Source organism: Homo sapiens, chromosome 10 (assembly GCF_000001405.40).
Source record: "Homo sapiens chromosome 10, GRCh38.p14 Primary Assembly".
In the NCBI taxonomy this organism is placed as follows: domain Eukaryota; kingdom Metazoa; phylum Chordata; class Mammalia; order Primates; family Hominidae; genus Homo; species Homo sapiens.
Window position 1 is genome coordinate 59801131 of NC_000010.11, and position 22661 is coordinate 59823791.

A 22661-nucleotide genomic window follows, 5' to 3' on the forward strand; every position below is an offset into this window, starting at 1 on the left:
CTTTATTTCTGCTTTTTATACCCTTCTCACTGCCCCAAGTTTTAATATATCTTTGGCTAAAGAAAAAAAAAATTGTGGAAACAAATTAAAGGCAGGCACTTTTCCTTCCTATTTGACACACACAAGTTATATATGAAAACATCTTCCTTGTTAAAATTCAAACAATTTGGAAACAATATCCTCTTTAACTCTATCTGATCTGGCTTCTTTCCCTACCACTCCATCAAAAACTGCTCTAGCTAAGGTCAGTGGTAAGTTCTGTGCTGCCGGTCGCCATCACTGATCTCCACTCCTAATTGTACTTGACCTGGCAGCTAACCACTCCCTTCTTGGTGAAATTCTTTGCCTTGACCTCAGTGACATCATACATCAATTTTCTTTCCACTTTTCTGGTAGCAACTTCCTCATCTCCTTTGCCAGGTTTTCATCTTATACTTGACCTTACAGTCGCATATCCCACATTTAAGGAGTAGAGTTATTTCCATCTCCTTGAGGATGGAATATCTACGTATATTATCTGGAATTCTCTCCGTGAGGATCTGTGTCTTCTCCCTTGTTTATTTATTTAGTCATTTATTCATATCAGTATGGACTTTGGATATTTGTTTGATGTTTGAATTATATTTTATTATATTAAATAATGTTATAATATAGTAATTAATACTGCTCAAATTGTCCCAGTTTTGGTGTTTGGGAGCTCCTGTATCCCTCTGACATACCCTCATCACTTTGTTTTCTGGGCACTTGTTTACTCTTTTGCACTACAAGTTATCTCACCCAGCTCATCTCGTACATTCAGTGCCCCAGCTCTAGAAACATTCATTTCTCCAAGTAGCTCTAGTTCTTTTAACTGGATCGAAACCAATGTCTGTGGGGTACGTTCATTGCTATGAGGGTGCAGACCTATTTTTTAGACCTCATTATTGCCTATCCCTAATTCAGACACATCAAAACAGGCTAACTGGGAATATCCTTCATTATACTGCATAAAATGATGGACAAACTGAAAGATAACACTCTTCCTATATATAATTCATAAAAGCAGTCCAAATATAATAAAGATGATGCTCTTTCTTAGTTTTAGGCTATGTATTTTTCAAGTACATTTTCAATATGTAATTGCCAATATTTCAACAAGTTAGTGAAGTTAGTGAAAACACAAGATTTCCAATGTCAACCAGAAAAGGAGGAAAATTCAGAGCCAATATGTTTAAAATGGAAATGAATGCTATTCAAACAGCATATTTCCACTAAGGAAGTGATTAGATATTCTTAATGCTTACAGCCACAAATTTTTTCCAATAAAAACTAATGTGAAAAGAAAACTGGAATATTCAGGTTTTGGTGATCTACTATGTATAGCACTACAATGTACTAGATCAGAATAGAGTAATTCTGCTGCCAAATAGACAAAATCTCCTTTGGTGATGTTATAGAATTTAAAACAGGATAAAAATATTCTCATTTAGGCTAGCTGTAAGGAAAAAAAATCTAGGTGTTACTTATGACATAGTTTAAGAAAAGTCAAATAGCTTATCTATCCAAGCAAGCCCCACACTTGATGTAGGTCCCACTATGGGAACAGGTACAGTGAAAGTAAAAATTATGTAAATACAGTAAGATTTTCCTGAAGAATCTTTGTTAAAATAGAAGGAATATTCCTAACCAAGGTCTGACATTTGTTCTTTTTCTTTTCTCAATGATTGCAACAATCTCTTTAATCAATCGGAAATTACATGCCTCTAAGGCTTTACGTTTAAATAAATCAAACAGGGTATTAAATTATCTTTAATATGAATCAGCATCACCATCACAAAATAATGAAACAATCCTCCATTTTACTTCTTCTTGACTCATGACTTCCTTTTACATCAATAAATCAGAAGGCAAAAAAGACCTTTATCATGGTAATGAAACCCAAGTGCTATTTTGGGAAAATTGAGAGGCAGCTAGAAGAGAAGCTTCTGAAGAGAGATTTAATGGCACTGGAAGATGGAAGAAACAGGTTGGGGAACATCTTTTTGGCAAGAACAAGTTGTGATGATTGTGCCACTGATCTCTGATAGGAAGTCCTTCTGCTTTGGAATCAGCATCTTTACCCCTGCCTGACACCAGAGAGCACACTGGCCCATCGGTACAAAGGCGGCCACCCTTTGTGCTAGACTTTAACTTTTGATTGCCTCCTCTTAAAAAAAAAAAAAGTTAATGGCAGCACAGTGCTGTGAACTTTTGTTATCCTGATGCAACGCTGTTTTACTTTATAAAAACTTTATGCTGCCTTCCTTCAAAGCAGTCACCTCACTCTATTCTACTGCAAAACTCTGCCTCTGTCACAGTCCCCTCCATACTTTTCTCCCAACTCTGCTGAAAATCTGCTTACCAGCAAGCACAAGAAAATCAGTCTCATCATTTTGGTCACAAGATGTGATTCTTTGGCCCATCACCTTTTCTTTCCTCCCCCTACTCCACTGGCCACCCACTCCACCCTCTGCTCCTCTTTCTCTCTCACTGGATCAGCTACTTGCCTCCCTGGCCTGAGAGCCCCATGCCATGCTGGTATTGAGCCACAGAGCTCAGGAAACAGTTTTTGGGGTCAGATGGAGACAAGCAATCCTTTGAGGGAAAGGTTGTGAGGGCAAAGCCAGAAGCAGGCTGCCTGACAGAAGTTCGTTCCCTCTTCTGCAGCCTGCCTGCTAGGGCCAGGTCCCACTCACCAATCACTGGAAATATCAGGAGGCAGCTCATGCTAGAAAGAACACACAGGCTCTTTAAACAGATAGGCCCTGCCTTGCCACTTCCTGGCTGTGTAACCAGTAGTGACCCTCTGAATTGCTGCTTCCTCATTTTAACATGGGGAAAATGATGACTACATTAATTATTCTGAGGACAAAAATGAGATTAATGTATGTGGAATATGGTAAAAGAACCCATAAAAGGTGTGCTATGATGCATCTTGGAAATCTACCTAAGGCTTTTTTGTCTACCCATTAGCACTTAAAATCATAGTCAAAGACATTCTTCTTTTTAAAAGGTGTTTTACAGTCAAATTCCTTTTAGATTAAAAAAAAAAAAAGAAGAAGAAGAGAAACACCAGCTGACACTCTAGCATTTATGCTTAAAATTTTCAAACTCTTAGCCTTGAGAGTGATGAGTTTTTGATGTTTTTGAAAAAGACATGATTATTATCCCTGTTTCCAAGATTTTTATACACTAGAAGGGAACACAGTCAGGGTTGCCTATTCAATGTGCCAGGAATCAGTCACTGAAATAGCCAAAGACATATGCTCACCAGGTGATATAGGCCTGCTTGAACTCGGAGAAGGTGTGTAAGGGATCGGGCTGGACACAGTGCGAGGTCTTAATCCTTGTGCAGACATCTCATTAAAATACCTAAGAGGAGAGAGGAGGAAACGATAAAACCACCTGCATTTAAATAGGCCTTAGGAGAGTTTTTAAGAGAAAATGTTTGGGGTTCACACCTTGAGGTCAAAATCCTGAATGTTTAGAGTGATGTTATAGTTAAAAGGCATTTATAAAATGGACTCCTGAGTCACACCGCTCTGCTGTTTGACAAACCTCACTCCAAGGGTCACCAGTTGGGAGACCTAGGATGTTTTAGCTCAGGATGGAAGCCAGGTGAAAGAGGTGCACCACACCACAGAGAGGACCAGTTTTTCCTCCATCACACAACAGCTATGTTGAAATTCACCTCCACTGTCCCAAGAGTTACAAAGACACTCACATGTTAGTGGTGACATTTAAATTGTTATTTGAAACTCAAAACCAAGCAAGCCCTCTGAGATTTATGTCATCAAATTAAAGCCTACAGATACTTATTCCTATGAACTGAGTATCAACTGTTTACAAGCAAGCCCTGCTTAACAGACAGTCACACACTAGGATTTAATAAGCCTTGAGTACTGAACACCTACAGCAGGTCACGCTTAGTCACACCATGCTGAGTCTGCCTTTTTCCTGGATTCAGAAGTCACATCAGACCTGAAAATGCTGAAGTGTGATCATCAGGAACATCAGCTTACACTCTGTGAAATGAGCATGGTGCGCTGACGAGGAGAAATTGCTGCTTGAGAGACTTCCTGATAAACCATCCTGCACGAGCGACCCACCCTAGTGGCACCAGGTGGAACTTCTTGTACTCCACACATCCACTAGTAGACTAAGAGGCATCTTGTGGTCTCTTAAGTGCCGGACAATTTTCTTTCTCCCAAATGTAGTATCATTGTTCCTAGTAGGGAAAGTATTTATTGGGCAGCTGTGGATAATCTGACCTACAAAAGGTAGGGCAAACTTTCTGAAATGAATACCGGTTCTGGAAAAAAATATTTATCTGGAAGGCTGAAATTGCTTCACTATTGACACTGCAGTCAAAAGACATATTTCCTTAGAGTGTATCTTACCCCAAACTGGGTCCCAGATGCTATATATGATCTGTATCTGAAGATAGTTAATAAGCTATTTAGTATTCTAGCTGGCAGTTTTAGTCAAATGGTTCTTAAGGGATATAGATTTTAGGAAGAATGGGGAACTGTAGTTTTATAAGGCAAAGTTTTGAGAAAGAATAATCTTTATTATTTCCAAATGAAGAGGCATACACATAGGTATTTAAAATAGAATAACCTGTTACTGTTTTCCTTTTTTTCTCATTATAAAAATATAGACTTTCATTATAGATAATCTTAAATTTTTAACAATAAAGTCACTGTCCACAGCAAACTGATCAACAGCGTTGTTAGTCCTCTAGATCCATTCCATAATAGAAACAGAGTACAGATGTGCTAACATTGCCTACATGTTTTGGACAGCACGTATTGGCATCAACAGGCAGTACTACTCGTCACAGCCATGAGTAGGCCTGGTTTCAGACACTGAATGCCCAGTCCTGCTGGAGGGACCCCCAAGAATACTCAGTCTCACCTCTCACACTAAGATACCGCCCATGTAACGCCAGGGCATCGCTGATCCAGAATGGAGAATTTCCTTGCAGAAATGATCTGGTTCAGAGAAAGGTTAATTCTCTAACTTCTGGGTTTCTCTGCAGATTGAACATCTTTTTCCATTTATACTTGTTTGTTATCTTACCACTACCTTATCCCGAATTTAGAGAGGAGGAAGAGGGAAGAGAACTGGATGAGGCACAAATACTTGAGACCATTTCTGCTAGTTAACCAAAGGATGGGTCTGTTATTCCAGATCACTCACAGTGGGGCAATGAGGGGATTCATTGCTTAGGTTTGAACAGATGAATGCAATCCATTAGTTTTATTTTTTTTTAAGTGGCTACAAAAAGGCTCAAAAGTTATCAAGTGTGTTAAGGCAAGTCCTTGGGATTTCAACAACCCCCACCTGTGTCCCTACTGATTCTTTTCAACCTACGCATGCACTGTTTTCCTCGAGCTGCACTATAGCTTGCTTATCCTTATACAGTACAGGAATTAATATGTTCCCATGCTTTAAACAGATATGACACTGGATTAAACTAATTCAACAACAAATGCAAACTCTGCTGCTTCTCTAATATAACCCTGTCTCCATTTCTCTCCCCACCAAATGATTTTAGAGAGGTGATTTTTTTCATCTTTTTGTGTTTAAGGAAAATGTTCAATCTTTATCCCATTCTTGGCATCTACTATAACGCAGTGGCATTCATTAGCACAATAAATACATATTTAAGCCATCCCCTTATACACCTAACAGGATACCAAAGAAAACCTCTGTAGAACCTGGGTTTTATTTTTTAAACAAAAACAAGGCTCATAAGACATGCACACACCTTTCGTCGTCCATTTCTAAGCTGGACTCACTCTCGGAGAGCTGTCGACAGAGGGCTTCTCTTCTCTCCATCTCCCTCTGCAGCTTCCTCTGGAGCCTCAAGTTCTCTTCTCTCATGTGACGTTCCTCCTCCAGATACTGTGCCATTTTCTCTGAATCTGAAAAGTCAGAGTTTTCAATTAAACCATGTTTCATGCAATCATATCCAAATCTAAAAAAAAGGAGACTTCAGTTCAGCCCCTATGCCATAGACAGAGGGAATTGTTACAAGATGGTCTTTCTGGTCGGGTATGGTGGCTCACACTTGTAATCCTGGCACTTGGGGAGGCTGAGGAAGGCGGATCACCTGATGTCAGGAGTTCGAGACCAGCCTGGCTAACATGGTGAAACTCAGTCTCTACTAAAAATACAAACATTAGCTGGGCGTGGTGGCAGGCACCTGTAATCCCAGCTATTCGGGAGGCTGAGGCAGGAGAACTGCTTGAACTCAGGAGGTGGAGGTTGTAGTGAGCGAGACTGAGCTACTGCACTTCAGCCTGGGCAACACAGCAAGACTCTGTCTCAAAAAACAAAGAAACAAAAAAGATATCTGGTCTTTCTCATTCTCCCACACATAGATGAGATATGGATTTAAAGTTTATCTCAAGTATAAAAGTTTACCAATTATTTGCATTTAGAAAAAAATATAAAAGGCAGTGTTGGCAGGTTAGGCATCGTCACTCCCACTCATTTGCATTCTAAAGTGCTTTAAGTAGAAGAGGAAATGGTGGAATTGGAGTCTACAAGTAGCCACTACAAGAGCTCTTCTCTACATTGCCAGAGCTGGGAAAGGAGGGAGGCCCAGATTCTGCCCATGGGCTCTGCTCTAGACACCAGTTTGGCTGCCTCTCAACTCCAGACACAGCAAGCCATCTAGGGGAGCCTGTGACACTTGTTGGCATTCCCGCTGTGCACAGTGGTGGCGGCACACCAAGAACCACTGTACTAGAACATGTGATAACAGTTAACATTCTTTTCACGAGAATAGACATTGACATAGTAAACTAGAAAACTTCAGATTAATATTTCCAAGTCTAATTTGTGGTGTGTGTGTGGCTGTCTGTTACCCTGACTCACACACACGTAGCGGCAGAGGGCAGGTGAAGTCCTGTATATAGCTGGCACCTCTAGGGATGGCATCTTGCTTATGACAAATACCCCTTCCTCAGGAGCTCCCCCACAAATCCAGGTCTCTGCTACAGCACCCATCTCCCAGGACAGAGCTGACTAGCCCTGGCACTAGCTGTTGGACCCAGGCTGAGCCACTTAGACTACCTCTCCCAGGAATCTGAAATGGGGAACTGACATCTTTATGGGGATCCAGGGTCTGCTTCAGCTAAGTTCCCCGGAGCCATCAAAACTCTTGTCCTTCCAAGGTTATTCTTCACAGGATTCTGTGGCATACTCCACAACCTTCCAAAAAAAGAAAAACACGTCTTCCTTCCTCTTTTGACAACCTCCCCACCGCCCCCATTCCTTTCTGGTTTATCTCACACAGAATCTGCTACCAAGTAACCAGAATTATCTAATACAAAATGTGGTGTCTACCCATCTTCTTGCTTCATTTCTTTTCCTTGTCTTTGTCAATGAACTTGGGAAAAGTAAAATCTCCATATACTTCTCTTTTCTGAAAAGCAGCTACAAATTCAGTGGCCATGAGCACGTCTAAGAGAGTTTCCTGTAGGCTGCTGTTCCATATTGTCAGTTCGGTCCAAATTTAGGGAAGAAGGAGGGAGCTGAATGCCACAATGAGCATTTTTCTCCCACAGACTGACCCTATTTCAACTCTCAATGCCCATCAAATTAGTTTCAGTTTTAAGCAACTCTACAAAGGTCTGGCATTTTAGCCAATAAAGACTTCTGATAAGTATTCAATGATTTCCAAGACAGCATCATTACAGATATACAAAAGCTCTTGAATATCCTTATTTTAGAAATTCAAATAAAAATACCAAAATTATTAAACACTATTACGTGCACTAAACACTAAATCCCTTGGCTGTTTCAACATAGCCAGAAACCCCGCTGTCTAATCCAGACACAAAAATCTCTTTAATTGAAGGCATGCTGGGAAAATATTTACAAAGTACACTTTTAATATAAACGATTTAAATTATTTGATCCCAAATATGCAAGCATGCAGAATTTTTCACTTGGCTCTACAGGAAACAAAAGATTGACCCCTTGGAGTATTTGCTGTTTCTAGAACTAGAAGGGTGACTGTCAGAGCAAGCTGACTTTCTTTTCCATAATAGGACTCTTATAATGCCTTTTACAGGAAGGGTGCTGGAGACTACCATGAAATCCTTTGCAGAATTAACATTAGTGAGGCTCCAAGAACAATAACTTCAGAGAACATTGTCTTTCAAAGAAAAAATGGCAATCCTTTAGCATCGGGGAACTCAGCAGGGGGATCCTTAAACAATATATCTATAGATAAGAATGTCCCCTGCAGTGATCGGCTGGGAAGACTTCCTGGCAGTTCAGCAATTGACCTAGAAGACAGAGGCACAGAGAAGGCACCAGGTCCAACACCTCTGGGTGTCACTGACTCACACACAGAAGGCTGTCACCAGAGCATTCCTTGGCTGCCCCCTGCTGGCACACAGCCTCACCTGACCAGATTTGTTCCTATGAGTCCTCCTCCTTCCTCTTGCACACAGAACTCCCTAGTACTTAGGGGCCACAGCTTATATTTCCCCAGGTCTACAGCCATCTCCCAATATAGTAGGCCCTCACTTAACATCATCCACAGATCCTTGGAAACTGTGACTTTAAGTGAAACAACATATGTATGCCATAGGAACTTAACTCTTGTTTGTATCAGTTAGCCTACGGTAAAATTGGTTTGGTTATACAGAAAGTTGTTTCACTTAAAGTCTCAGTTTCCAAGAACCCAAGGATGATGTGAAGTAAGGACTTACTGTATTTTAGTCAAAGATGGTGTGAACTGCGGATGACTTCCACACAGATTCCAAAGAGGTGGCTCCCAAATGATCCAAAGATCTGCATGGCTTGCATTCCCTTCCAAGTTCACAGTTAGAAAATACCAGTGCCCAGACTATACCCCAAGCCAATTCAGTCAGAATTCCAAGGATGAGTCCTAGCCACTGGTCTATTAAAAGCTGGCCAGGCGATGCCAACGTTCAAACATTGCTGAGAACTGTTGAGAGAGAGGTTCAAGTTCAGATGCAGTCAAGCTTGGAGGGTGAGGAGCCACCTGCCATAGCTGCATCCAAAAGAGGCCCAGGTCATCTAACCTAAGGAGAATGCAAGGAATGGATGATGAAAAGTCACTAACACATCCTTTAGGCCCAATCCAATCACTGCAAGCAGCTAAGTGCCACTGCTGCTTCTTTAGTTCAGCTTTCTCTGTCCTCACAAAATCAGAAATAGCACTTACAAATGCCTCTGTTAGTATCTGCAGTCTCTTCAGACTAAACAGTGCAGTATGGAGATAGTAGTAAGCATACATTCTCCCCAAATTCCTTCTGAAATTTTTGCTAGGGGCACGATGGAGCAGTATAAAGGAGGAGGAAAAATGCAAACTGACAGCACGGGAAAAAGTTCAGGAAGGTGCTGAAAGATGTTTGTGTACTCACATGGTAAAAACTCAAAAATCTTAAAATAACTAATATTTGAGAACTATTTGATATATCTCATTTGATTTCCACCAAACACACATAGTAATTAACAACCTGAGGTCCACATCAGGATTACTTATATATATATTTTTTTAATATGCTCCTTTTTTACTCCATGGAGTAAGCCCAGAAACCTGTATGGTGCTAGAATAGTGATTCCCTAAAGATGTCCACATGCTAATCCCCAAAACCTATAAATGCTACTAACCTCACTTGACAGAAGGGCCTTTGCAGAAGTGATTAAGTTAAGGGGCTTGAGATGGGTAGATTATCCTAGATTATCACAGTGGGCCCAACATAATCACAAGGATCCTAATAAAGGGAGGCAGGGGAATCAGAGTGAAAAGAAGATGTAACAACAGAGGCAGAGGTGGGGTGGTACGACTGCAAGGAAGGGGCCACAAGCCAGGGAATCCAGGCAGCCTCTAGAGCTGGAAAAGGCGAGGAAACAGAGGCTCCCCAACAACCTCCAGAAGGATGGCTGCCCTGATGACACCCTGATTTTAGCCTAGTGAGTCCCATCTTAGAACTGTAAGATGGTTAAGTTTGTATTGTTTTGAGCCTCTAGGTTTGTGGTAATTTGTAATAGCAGAAATAGGAAAGTACTACACCATATTTCTCAAAGGCTCCAAGGATGATACTGATACACCATCCCAGATGCTCCACGGCACAAGAATTTGTAAGGAACTTCAGAGACGAAAACAAAGGTAGGAACCACTGAACTTTTTAAAATGCACATTCCATGTGGCCCAACAAATCCACTTCCTGGAATCTATCCTGAAGGTGTTCCTGCACAGGTATCAAACACGTGTATAGAGATGTTCATTGCGGTTGTAGCATAGCAACCAAAAAGGGTCCACTGGTATGGGACTAGTTGAATTATGGCATATTCATACAATCAAATACTATGCAGCCTTTAAATAAGGGATGAAGGCAGCTTTGTATGTATCAGCAGGGGAGAAAACTACAATGCATAGTAAGCGAAAAGAGAAAGGTGTAAATGAGTGTGCTCATTGTGTTACTACAGCTGTCCCTCAGAACCTGTGAATCCCAAGTATACCAATATGTGTGCATACTCAGGTCCTGTAGTCAGCCCTGAGGAACCCACAGATAGGAAAAGTCAGCCTTCCACATGTACAGGTTTGACATCCCATGAATACTGTATTTTCCATCCATCTTTGGTTGTGGATGCAGAACCTCCAGATACGAAGGGACAACTGTATTTATTGAAAAAAAAATCCACAATATAAGTAAACTAGCACAGTTCAAACCCGTGTTGTTCAAGGGTCAACTGTATGTGTATAAATAAGTTTATATACAAATATATCTGGAAGAATATAGTACAAATGTATAATTGTGGGAACAGGGTAGCTAGAGAATAGGAATGAGAGAAAGACCCATTTTTTCACTGCATACCTTTCACTGAATTATCTGTTCAAAAAAATAAATTTGAATAGCCAAAAAAAAAAAAAAAAAAAACCACAAATAGGAGAGACCCAAGAAACTACACAGGGACATAATCAAATATTCAGAAATCTAGTCCTTTGATTTTTCAACTCAACATCTTGGCCTCTTCCAAAATATTAAGTATAAATTTCAAAAGCATTTACTCTTCAAATAGCATGAACAAATGTCAGCTAAGGTTGAATGTAGTAGTAAGGAAGGTAAACACTACTCTCTGCCTTAATATTTTGAAAGTGCTTTGAGGTCTGCTGCAATATTTTTGTTAGCACAATCCTAGAGATAAACATGGCAGAGAAGATTAAAAATGTTACTTGTGATCCTGGATGTTCCTGAAATTACTTTAATTATTTTCTGGAAGTATTCTAAATGGTTTTGTTCTCCCCTACTATAACACTCAAAAAAAAAAAAAATTCCATTCCAGGATGATGAACTTAAGTAAACATGCATCAGTAATATATGAATTTAATTACTGCAAATTCAACAGTAATTAAATGTTGGTAATACCCTATATTTGGTAAAGTTATTAATTCTACAGGCATGAAACTAGTGAAACCAGAGGCTACGTACGCTGTAACTGAGCAGCTCTCAGTTGCTTCTTCAGCCGTTCCACTTCATTCTTTAAAAACCTGATGTGACGCATCATATTTTCTGGAGAATCAATCTCCATGGAGATATCTCTAGGCGATGGTGGAGCAGAGACGGGCTGGTCTAATTTTTCCTGCAGGATTCTTCATTGAAAAGAAAAATTCCAACAATGACTAACAGTTTTCCTTGAAAAGACAAAACAACATACTAGCTGGCAGGTTTGTTTTAAAAGCAAACTCCTGTTTACTGCCAGAATTCACAGGGTTGCTTAATTCCTCTGCCCATTTTACATCAAACTTCTGCCCTTACGTGGTGTCTCACTTCAAAGGGCAGAGCTGATTCTAATCTCCCTTTTTCCTTTTAAATGACTATTAAATGTTTTAAATTAAACAATACTGAAAAGTCTTTATTTAACAACAGGATCTGATAATTATGCCTGGAATACAGTATGCACTTAGAAATACCTGCTGACTCAATGTTCAACTTCTTGGGTTTAGTGCATGAAGATGCTGAGGAAATTCCATTTTCTTACGGCTTTTGATTGAAGCTTCTAAGCTACTATGAATCTCCTTGGAGGGTAAAGTAACACAGAGACTCAACTTCTAAAATTCCCTCCTGCAAAACTAATTGCAAGGGCATGGCAAACTGGACTAGCGGCCCTTTGCTTTTGGCCACAGCAAAGGTAAAAAGTTAAAAACAAAACCAAAATTGTTAGGTTAATAATTAGTAGTGCCACCTTCTTTACCAATTATTTTTATGTTGAAGGATATAAAATACTGATATTCAATAGCTCTGACCTACAAAATGCAAACTTCCATACTGTTCAACCCAATAATTTGGCACTAATACATGTAAAACCTCCAACTGCCTTTTACAAAGTCTTCCTTTGGCAGCAGATCTCTAAATCCCTTTCCATAGCTGCTGGGGTTTTTGTTTTGTTTTTGCTTTGTACCTTTGAGTTTGTCCAGGAGCAAACTGAGTTACCTCCATCCAGGTCTACCCTTGAGAAAACTAGTGTGTTAAATATTATAATGGTCCCTGCATTTATTACATAAAATGACTTTTCGTAATTCAACTTATTAGTACTGCTACAATAATACCTATCAGTAAAGCATAGTGGATATGATTATAACAAGTATTTCTTATAGATATAGCTCTAATTTTCACTTTTCTTAAAGCTATGTGGTATGCCTGTATTTTGCAAATGTAGACATGAACTCAAAACAATTACAAATATGCATCCAAACCAAATACTTAAGGAGGAAGGGCTCTGGGTAGCAAACAAAAGATCTTGGTGAAGTAGATTAATGACCATTTTTAAGAAACTCACTTTTTACACCCGTACACACATTCCACATACAGAATCTTCTTCCCATTCTTACAAGCCCTGCCTCACACACTCCAAAGTACTCAGTGCTTGAAAATAAGGGCTTAACTATCTTGCACAAAGAGGTTTAAGAAATGTTTGCTGTTGAGTGACATTCCACTTCCAAGTACATACATTTTATATAAAGAATCCTAGCCTTAAGTATGTAAAGGTATTTCTTTACAGTAGGTTTTAAAACAATTTTATTATTAAAATCTCAGGCTTCCTAAAGAAGTAAATTCCAGAGATGTATAAATAATAGTACGCAGTATACCCTATGTACTTTACAAAACAACTGAGGAAGCCAGTTCAATAAGGTGGAAAGTTGAAATTGCAACCATTCTTGAAAATACTTTAAAGGTGAACAATAGCAGCATGACTAATTCTCTCATAGCCTTGTAACACCAAATGAAAAGAAATTCTACTGGGACAGTATGATAGCAAAGAATAAAGAGGTGCCCAACATGGGAATAGTTCAGAAGGCTTTCAACATTTTTTTTCCTTTGGCCAATTAAAATGATGTGCATCACCAAAGAATTAAGGTGTCCTACTGCTATTCCTCAGTCACACCCAGAGCAGCAACACACACACACACACACACACACCCATACTGAACAGCAAGACTAAACAAACCGCTTTTCAGCTTCAAGCTTATCCATCCTTTTCCAGAGGCGATTAACTAGTGCTTCTTGTTCTTGTTCCAATGTATTTTCAAGGTCAATCTTCTCCCGTCTCAACTAAAGGAAGGAAAAAAGTGTTACCAAAGTGTCAGGCCACTTATACTTTGTTAATACATTTTTTGATTGAACAATTAGGACCCCTTTTCTTGGAGAATACTGCAAACATGTGGCCAATTTTCTGGCACAAACATATTAAGTGCATCTAGTTCTTAAACTTTGAAAAAAACTAGATAGGTTCATTCTTGGATGTTAATGCTTAATTGTTGTCTGGTACATGAAATGCATTGCTTGTTTCAGCATTTATTCAAGGCAAGTGGAAAGTCCTCCTTAGAGAGGTCTTTAGGGGAGTTCGGTGTACTAGTCATATCAGGACTTTTCTGGGCTTGTCCCTTACAGTTCTGGGCTTACAGTTATTCTTCCGGGCTTGTCCCTTACAGTAAGTCAGAAAGGTTATATTACTATTCATATAAATAACTCTTAAAAGCTCCCAAACACTCTACATACTGGCTAATGGAGATAAATAAACATGTACTAAGATATAAAAACACGCACAAAATATGATAAACACCAAATCCACAATACTGGTTACTCTAGGTTACTCTAAGGATTTAGGGAAGGAAGAAAATTTGATTTGGGGGAGGCTTTGCAGTTGCGGAGGGAACCCCAACAGTGTTCTATTTCAATGAAGCAAACATGGGAAAATTCAATTAATCAATATTGAGCAATATGTAATAAATACTGAGAACAATGACTGGATAATGGGGGCATAGCAGTGAATCAAGGAGTCAGGAATTTCTGCCCTCATGGATCTTCCTTTTAGTGGGGGTCAAGACAGTAAATGAAACAATTATATACTTGTGAAACAGTATGAAACAGATATGTAGAAAAAGAGGGCTGGTAAGAGAGACTGAAAGTGCAAGAGGTTTCATAGCAATGAGTAGAGGACATGTATTCTATCATTCTCCGTACTTGACATATTAAATAATTAAAAATTTTTTCTTAATGCAAAGAGCCTATGCTACTGCTTCCATGTTATTTCTTCAACCAGTGGCAATTCACCTTTCAATGGTTGAGTCAACAAATTATTCTTGATTGCACAAAGATGTTAATAGATTCCACATTTCCTTAGTGGGTCACAGAGGCAAGCTCCTCATCCAAAGATCCCGTGTGTATACATAAGGCAGAACCAAAAACATGAATAAAATGTAGTCTTTTAAAGCAATCAAACATCAGAAAATAATATCCAAAGTGCGGTTTTACTTTTACAGCCAAATGACATTCCCCTTTCTGAAACTCTTCGTAGCTTAGTCTTAAGAAGCAACAATCTCAACCTCCCGAGATGGTTAGTACTACCAACACCACCCAAGGTCCTTAAGGAGCTCACAGAGAGCAAAAGACTTGCCCATATTCACACAGGAGCACAGGACAGCCAATGAAGGTGAGCAGCTACTTGTTCCACATCTGAGCCAGAATGAATATGCATAAAATCAGCTGCCTCAGAACCTGAACAATCAAGACCTGAGAGGAAATGATATAAGGATAATGATATCATTATGTTCTAAGTTTAGAGAAAAAAAGGAGGTCTCAAACAGATGGGAAAAACTCTCCTGTGACGACACAGCTCTAGGCTTTTCTTTTCTCCTCTCAAAGCCATAAAAATAGCTGTAGAAACAACTGGCCATTTGAATATTTAAAATATTTCCTACAAACAGGTACAGTCACAAAACAGCAGCCAATGCATTGGGGGGAGACTCCTGTAATTACACTTCTGTCTTATGATCATAGACTTTGAGCCAAATGCCTAGGTTCAAATCCCAGCTCCATCAATCACTAGTTAGAAAATGTTGAGAAAATTACTAGATATAATTTTACCATTTGCAAAGTAAGGGACAAAAATAATGTCTGGCTCATTGGATTACAGTGAGCATTACATTTGTAAATCTAGGTAAACCATTGATAACTAATGGGCACTTAGAAAGCACTCAACACTTTTTGGCTATGATAATCACTATATCTGGATATCCGTTCTATTTCTGTTCCAGCCCTCCACAATGTAAGTCCTACAAGGGACTTGTCTTGTCTGTTTCATTCCTTAGTACATCCTCAGTATCTAGAATAACATCTGGCACCTTATAGGCCATCAATATATATTAGAGGGCTTATTTGACAAGTGAATAAGCCATGATTATGTAGCAAACTGGAAACAGAGCTTCAAAATATGTTGTTTTTGCATGGCAGAATTTGATTCTGAAGAACAGTTCAAGGGCAAAAAGGAGGAGGTGCAGGGTGTCAAAATAAGTCAAATATATTGTGCCGCAAAGTTGGGACCCCACTAACGTGCAAATGCTCCTCAGAATGTTAAACAATTCCTACCTGCAGCAACAATGAGAAATTGTGGGACCCTTATATGACTCCTATTAAACCTTGTGATTCTCTGCATTCATCATACACTTTGGCCAAGCTTTGAAGTACAATCCACAGTCATTTCTTTTCTTTTCTTGAGACAAGGTCTCGCTCTGTTGCCCAGGCTGGAGTGCAGTGGCACGATCATGGATCACTGTAGCCTTAACCCACTGGGCTCAGGCATTCCTCCTGCTTCAGCCTCCCAAGTGGCTGGGACTACAGGCACACACCACCACACCTGGTTAATTTTTTATTTTTTGTAGAGATGAGTTCTTGCTACGTTGCCCAGGCTGGTCTTGAATTCCTGGCCTCAAGCAATCCTCTGTCTAGGCCTCCCAAAGTGTTGAGATTACAGGTGTGAGCCACTGCCCCCAGCCTCAGAATTATGTTTATTTAAACAAATAACTATGAGGCATTTACCTTTAAGGATCCCAATTCCAGTGTTTAAAAGCATCATAGGAGGTAGAGGTAGTTGATAAGCAAGAAAAAAATTCAAGCAGGCATCATTTTGCGGTATGATGTCTAGTGGAGAAATGCATACTCAATTACTTTTAGAGTAAATACTCATAATACTAATCAATAACTCTGAGAAGCAAAATCAAGACAAAGCTGTCTTTACCCATATGTAACTAATGAGGCATGTGACTCTGAGCAGGTCACTCAGCTGCTGTAGCTCCGATGCCCTCATCTATGAAATGAGAAGTTTGGCCTGGATGATGCCTGTGGTCCCTTTCTGGCCTATCCATTCTGTCATTCCCTGCCCAATGTCAAGACAGTAGCTGTCTTCAGTCGGGGCTAGTTCCGTCACACGCATTTAGAGCCAGAAGCAGCATGGCAAATCATCATTTTAAAGCTGAGGAAACCACTAGCCTGCAAGATGACATGACTCAGGCAGTCATGCCACCAAGATAGGAACGGATATCGGTCACCATGGCAGCCAAAATTGCTGGGTCCTGTCCAACCAGCAAGTACAGAGGAACTTGAGGGAAACATGGATTTAGGGCAAATCAAGCTGTGGTTTGTGGGCCTATCTCCTTTGCCAACAATACTTGGGAGTAGCAGAGTTGGGGGTAGCTGATGCCAGGGAAATAAGGACAGTTTAGGGAGTCTATGAGCGATTTTGGAAACAGACGAGATCAGGAAACATGGGTTGGAGCTCTACGTGAATCTCGGCTCCTTCCTGGCATCTGTTGGTAGAGTTACCAGCTATCAATCTACTGCCCACCTCAGCAAACGTGGGCACCCTGAGTGTGAAACTTGGGTTTGCTGTCCCAATTTGCTCTACTAATTTATTTCCATGATGCAGGCAACACAGGAAGCCCCAGCTCAGCCGTGTGGATTCTCAAGTACAGTAGGTCCTTGAATGTTCAACGTCCTTTTATTATAATGTTGACGGGGGGGGGGGAAGCAGATTCTCAGTGGGGCCTCTGTCTATGTAGGGTTCACATGTTCTCCTTATGTCTGTGTGGGTTTTCTCCAGATACTCGAGTTTACTTCCATGTCCCAAAGATGTGCAATCGGCATGTCTACATAGTCCCTCTGGAGTGAGTAAGAGTGTGTGTATGAGTGTGTCCTACAATGAGTTGGTGCCCCATCCAGGATTGGGTCCTGCTTTGTGCCCTGAGCTGCCAGGACAGGCTCCAGCCACCCTTGATCTGAACTGGAATAAGCACGTTAGAAAATGAATGAGTACAAATTATTGTAAAATACAAATTCATAAAGTATATGCTAATCATACAAACACATGAAAATCAATGATGCAGTATGCAAGTATTCAGCAAGCCGCTGTAATTGTTACTATTTGCTTTTGAACTGTGAGTTGGGAGGAGGTGCTCCTTACAATTTTTACTTTGCAAACATTTATCCCTTGATTTAACACATCACTACTATGACCATCACTCACTGATTCACTAAAAATGGGGTAATTATACGGTTTTCATTAATCTTTAATATATGCATAACTCATATTTGTTTCAATATTTAATATCAGAAGTATGTTGGGTCTTTATTTAGAAGTGTGATAATGTTTTTGTGACCAGAAATATGTCATAGGAACTTAACTCTTGTTTATATCAATCAGCTTCTGGTAAAATTGATTTTCATATATGTTGTTTCACTTAAAGTCAGTTTCCAAGAACTATACTGACAATGTTAAGTGAGGACTTACTGTATTTCATTACATAGGCTGGCAGTGCTACAGGACTCTATATTATCTTTAACCCTGAAAAGAGCAGGGCCTCTTGTTTTTTCAGTTTTAAAAATCTCAACTTTTCAGCATTGTTGAGGAGCTCTGGCTGACATTAAAGAGCAGAGAAGTTAGAGGAAATCATATTGAGTCCCTTGGTTAATTTCCCCTGAAGTTCTTTATCAGTTTCCCCACCACTTCCTGCCCACCTAATTCCAAATCCTATATACTTAGAGCCAAAGTGAACATAACAGTTCCGCCAATTAAAACAGATTTTCAATGCTTACACTGTCCTGGTCATTGCACAAGCTCATAATATATGTTAAGTTTCCAGGGTAGTAAGTTGGAAATTCTTGCTTCAGGTGTAAAAAGCCAAGTGATACAGTGCTGTCAATATGCTGGTCTCTATCTGTAATAATCTCTCTTCCACATCCTTCCTAGTATCATCTGATCACTTTTTTAAAAAAATTGGTGTTCATGCAATACGTACCCCACTCATCCCTTACCAAACATCTAATTTTCAGGCTAACCCAAGCCCCGTACTGTGATTATTCTGCAAGCATCCAGCACCAAGGGATAGAGCTAATTTATTCATTGGAGCTGAATATTCATTGGAAAGACTGCTTTGTAATTAAGTCAGTTCAATGAACTGCCAAATTCTTTACTCCTCTTGAGTAGCTCTACTTTCCATTACAGGTTAATTAACATCAGACCAGGAGTTCTTATTATGTTCCCAAAATAAATTTAGAACTTCTTCAATGAATAAACTTAATATATAAAAATGCATCTGGCTTATTTGAATTCACAGCCGGTCCCACTTGTGTCTTCTCAGTAGACAGATCCTGACCAAAGAAGCAGAAAGGGAGTGGGCCAGCCCAGAGGTGGCTCCCAATGCTACCACAGTTCTTTCTTACTATTGCATTTTTCCATTTAAAGAGGACTACGATGCTGGGGTGGGAGTAAGGAACGTTTGGCAAAAAAAGCCGGATGAGAACTCTAGCTAAATCTAGCTCAGTTATAGGATTTTGAAAGGTTTTAGTGAACCTTTTCAATCTGCTTTGAAAGGTTTTAGTTTAAGGACCATATTATCATCATTACTATGGGAAAATCTGTTTTGAAACCCAAATATTTGATTTATAACACAAATTTTGGAAAGCAGTCCATTATAACTACGACATGTACTAATCCAGGCGTAATAAAGAAAAGGTAAAGCCTATGAAGTAAAGGCTATCATATAAATAGAACACAGTTTGCCAGGCACTTAAGCCTGGGAAACAGAGTGAGATCCCGTCTCTACAAAAAAAATAAAAAATTATTCAGATGCAGTGCCATGTGCTTCCAGTCCCAGCTACTCAAGAGGCTAAGGCAGGCGGATCTCTTGAGCCCAGAAGCTTGAGGCTGCAGTGAGCTATGACTGTGCCACTGTACTCCAGCCTGGGTGTCAGAGCAAGACTCTGTCTCAAAAAAAAAGAACGAATGAATGAACGAATGAAAGAAAGAAAGAAAAAAAAGAAAAAGATAGCAGAATACTTTAACAGCCACATTAACCAAACTCTAAAGTTGGCTAGATTTTTTTTTTTTTTTTTAAATAAGAGGCAAGTCCTAAGAAAACACGAGAGTGTGTTGGGGATTTAACACAACAACTTCCCAAAGCCTTTCAGCTTAGGTTATGTCTAATGCTATGTCTAAAGGCCATTAAAAGCTTAGCCCCATCTCCTATCACTTTACTATGTGATTTCATAGATGTTCAAGTGTTCAAAGTGCTGACCTGGGGGTACATCAACATCACCTGAGAAAATATAAGTACAATATTCAAAAAATAAATCAGTCAGAAAAATGGTCACAGTTTTGCTTCTACTACAAGAGCAGAGACAATCTCATTCCATCCTATTTTCCCATACACCTGAGTTAATCCAGATTGTACCTATATATTGGAAAGAAGTGACTAACAGAATTCATGAGGGGGCTATTAAAATACATCACGTGCATCTGACATGAAAATAGCTAAGAGCAATCCACAATGGTCCTTGACAAAGCCTTCACAAAGTAAAGCAATGGAGACAAGTCAGGTAAAACAAGCAATGTCTGTGTCAGCTGTCTGTTCAGGTGATCAGTGGAATTTTGCTCAGTCCTGGCAATTCTCCTAAGGTGGAAGACATCTGACCCTTGCATTCTGGAAAACTGTCTTTTAAAAAAAAGACAAAACAAGTAGTCAGTCTGTGTTACAGATAAACTAAGACAGGTGTTCATAGACCACAGAGTATCCCCAGGTGTCTATTTGATTAATCAAGCTGTGATTGCTTTCAGAATTTTAAGAACAAGTTCTAGGTCATCACACAGCTCATGCAATGCTGAGAACAGAAAGAGTTGAGGGAAGTCTGCCAGTGAGGAGCAAGGAAAAGGGGGAGGAAGAGTGGTCACTTCCTAGACTAGAAGATCAAAGTTATAATTGAAAAGAAACTTACCTACATATATCTAAAATACAGGAAAAAGGAGAAATACGCAAAAAAAATCAGAAAGAACTATACAGCAAGATAAATATGGTTGTCCCTTGGCTGAAAGTTATGCCGTTGATAATTTATCTTCCTATTTTTTCCTGGCCTGCCCAATTTCTTAATCAACATCTGCTATTTTTATTATAGAAAAAAACCCAGATATCTAATCTTAAAAAAACTGAGTTTCCTAGTATAATTGAATAGTACATCCAAAAACAGCAATCCATTAATATGGTATTATCTGGCATATTTAAAATACAGAATGAGCTAATCAACCTTCAGAAGAATAAATGACAGTGAAAGCTCAGTTATTTGGAAGATAGAATTTTCCAGATAGCTCAGAGTTTACTTTCTTTAATACAGCTTACATCTTTTTTCTTCTAAAAAATTATGTTCCTGTAAGAATTAGATTTGTTCTTTGAAACTGACATAATTTCAGGACAACATTAATATGCCATTATTAACATGAAAATGACACTATTTCATAACTTATCAGTTCAATAAATTTTGCTTTCAATGAGAAATAACTTTTGAAATAGACACACATTTAATTACTCAGATTAACACAGTTTCTAGTCTTAACATTTTCATCACTTTAACATCAACATAATATTACAGAAATTTGCATACTGGGTTCATTACTCGAGGGGATTCTTTTAACCGATAATTGCCGTTTAGGGAAAGCAAGTTTCACAGTATTGTGTATACATTCTTTTACTACATCAAGAGTTCAGTGGAGAAGTCCTCAGGAAAGAAATGACATCTGTAACTGTTGCAAATATACTATCAGATCAGTGGCTACCATCAGACTATTACCTAAAATAAGCATCTTGCTGGGTGTGGTGGTGCATGTCTGTAATCCCAGCTACTTGGGAGGCTCATGCAGGAGGACTGCTTGAACCGAGGAATTTGAGACCACCCTGGGCAACACAGTGACAGGGACAGGGGGGCAGAGAAATTCTAGGCAGAAAAGGGTAGGTCCCTGGCAAAACCCCATCCTCAAGCCAAAAAGCCTGAAACCACAGTCCAAAGTGAGAACTCATATCCCTGTTTTTCCACTCGAATGTTGCCTTTTCCTAAACCACCCATGGCCCTGTCCCACCCCACCCTATGCTTATAAAAAAAAAACAACCCCAGACTCAGCCGGTAGACAGGACTACAGCTGGAGGTTGGAGAGAAGCGGTTTGACTTCGGAGGGACAGCTTGCTGGCGTAACTTTGGAGAAGACTACAGGCAGACTTCAGGGGAAGATTACCTACCTGCCCCATCCCCTTTTCAGCTCCCCTTCCAGCTAAGAGCCACTTTCATCGGCAATAAAATCCCCCACATTTACCATCCTTCAATTCATTTGTGCAACCTCATTTTTCCTGGATGCCAGACAAGAGCTCAGGAGCTATGAGTGCAGATACAAAAGGCTGTCACACTGGCCCTTTGCCCTTGCTGGTGGAGGGCAGCCGACTCATGCAAAAAGGCAAAGGGCCCACTGAACTCTTAACACTTAAGCCGTCCATGGACAGCAGAGCTAAAAGAGTACAGTAACACACCCTCTGGGGCTTCAGGAGTTACAGGCACCCCCGCCTAGATGCTGCTACGGGGCCAGCACAGAGTTCGTTCCTGCCAGTACCTAAGCAGCCAGCCGGTGCCAGCACTTGTTCACTCCAGTTCCCACACTGGAGTTGAGAGTGGTGGGCTGAGTAAATGAGACACCCCTCTCACAACTACTGTGAAGGGGTCAGGGAAATATCCTGCTTCAATGGCAAGACTTTGTTGTCTCCCAACCCAAAATATTATTAAAGTTAAAACAAGCTTCTTTAAAAACAACAGGGCAACTTCTCTTGCCCTAATGTGATTTATCCAAAATGGAAGTTTTGGACAAACTTGATGTTCTTTATCCAAAATGGAAGTTTCCTTGATAAATCATTTCTTTCTTGTCATTACCACATTCATCCCACTTCCTTACATAGGGATGATGAGTTTATTTAGCCATTCATTCATTTGCTGTGTGTTCAG

The 22661-nt window shown here is 39.8% G+C and overlaps 1 protein-coding gene across 1 annotated transcript in view, besides 1 other annotated feature; it reads right to left on the bottom strand.

The window, feature by feature from the left end:
- Positions 1–22661, bottom strand: part of CCDC6 (coiled-coil domain containing 6) — a 117810-nt gene that overhangs the window by 12384 nt on the left and 82765 nt on the right. Inside the window, exons 4-7 of the mRNA NM_005436.5 lie at positions 13522–13625; positions 11505–11665; positions 5792–5948; positions 3290–3390 (exon numbers count right to left, since the gene is read on the bottom strand). Coding sequence (NP_005427.2) covers positions 3290–3390; positions 5792–5948; positions 11505–11665; positions 13522–13625 — 523 coding nt within the window. The remainder of the gene's footprint in view (positions 1–3289; positions 3391–5791; positions 5949–11504; positions 11666–13521; positions 13626–22661) is intronic.
- Positions 2045–2546: an enhancer, noted in NCBI's record as "H3K27ac hESC enhancer chr10:61562933-61563434 (GRCh37/hg19 assembly coordinates)". NCBI's record gives its function as "activates a minimal SCP1, AML or CMV promoter by ChIP-STARR-seq in primed H9 embryonic stem cells {active_cell/tissue: H9 hESC(primed)}" and the evidence as "EXISTENCE:reporter gene assay evidence [ECO:0000049][PMID:30033119]".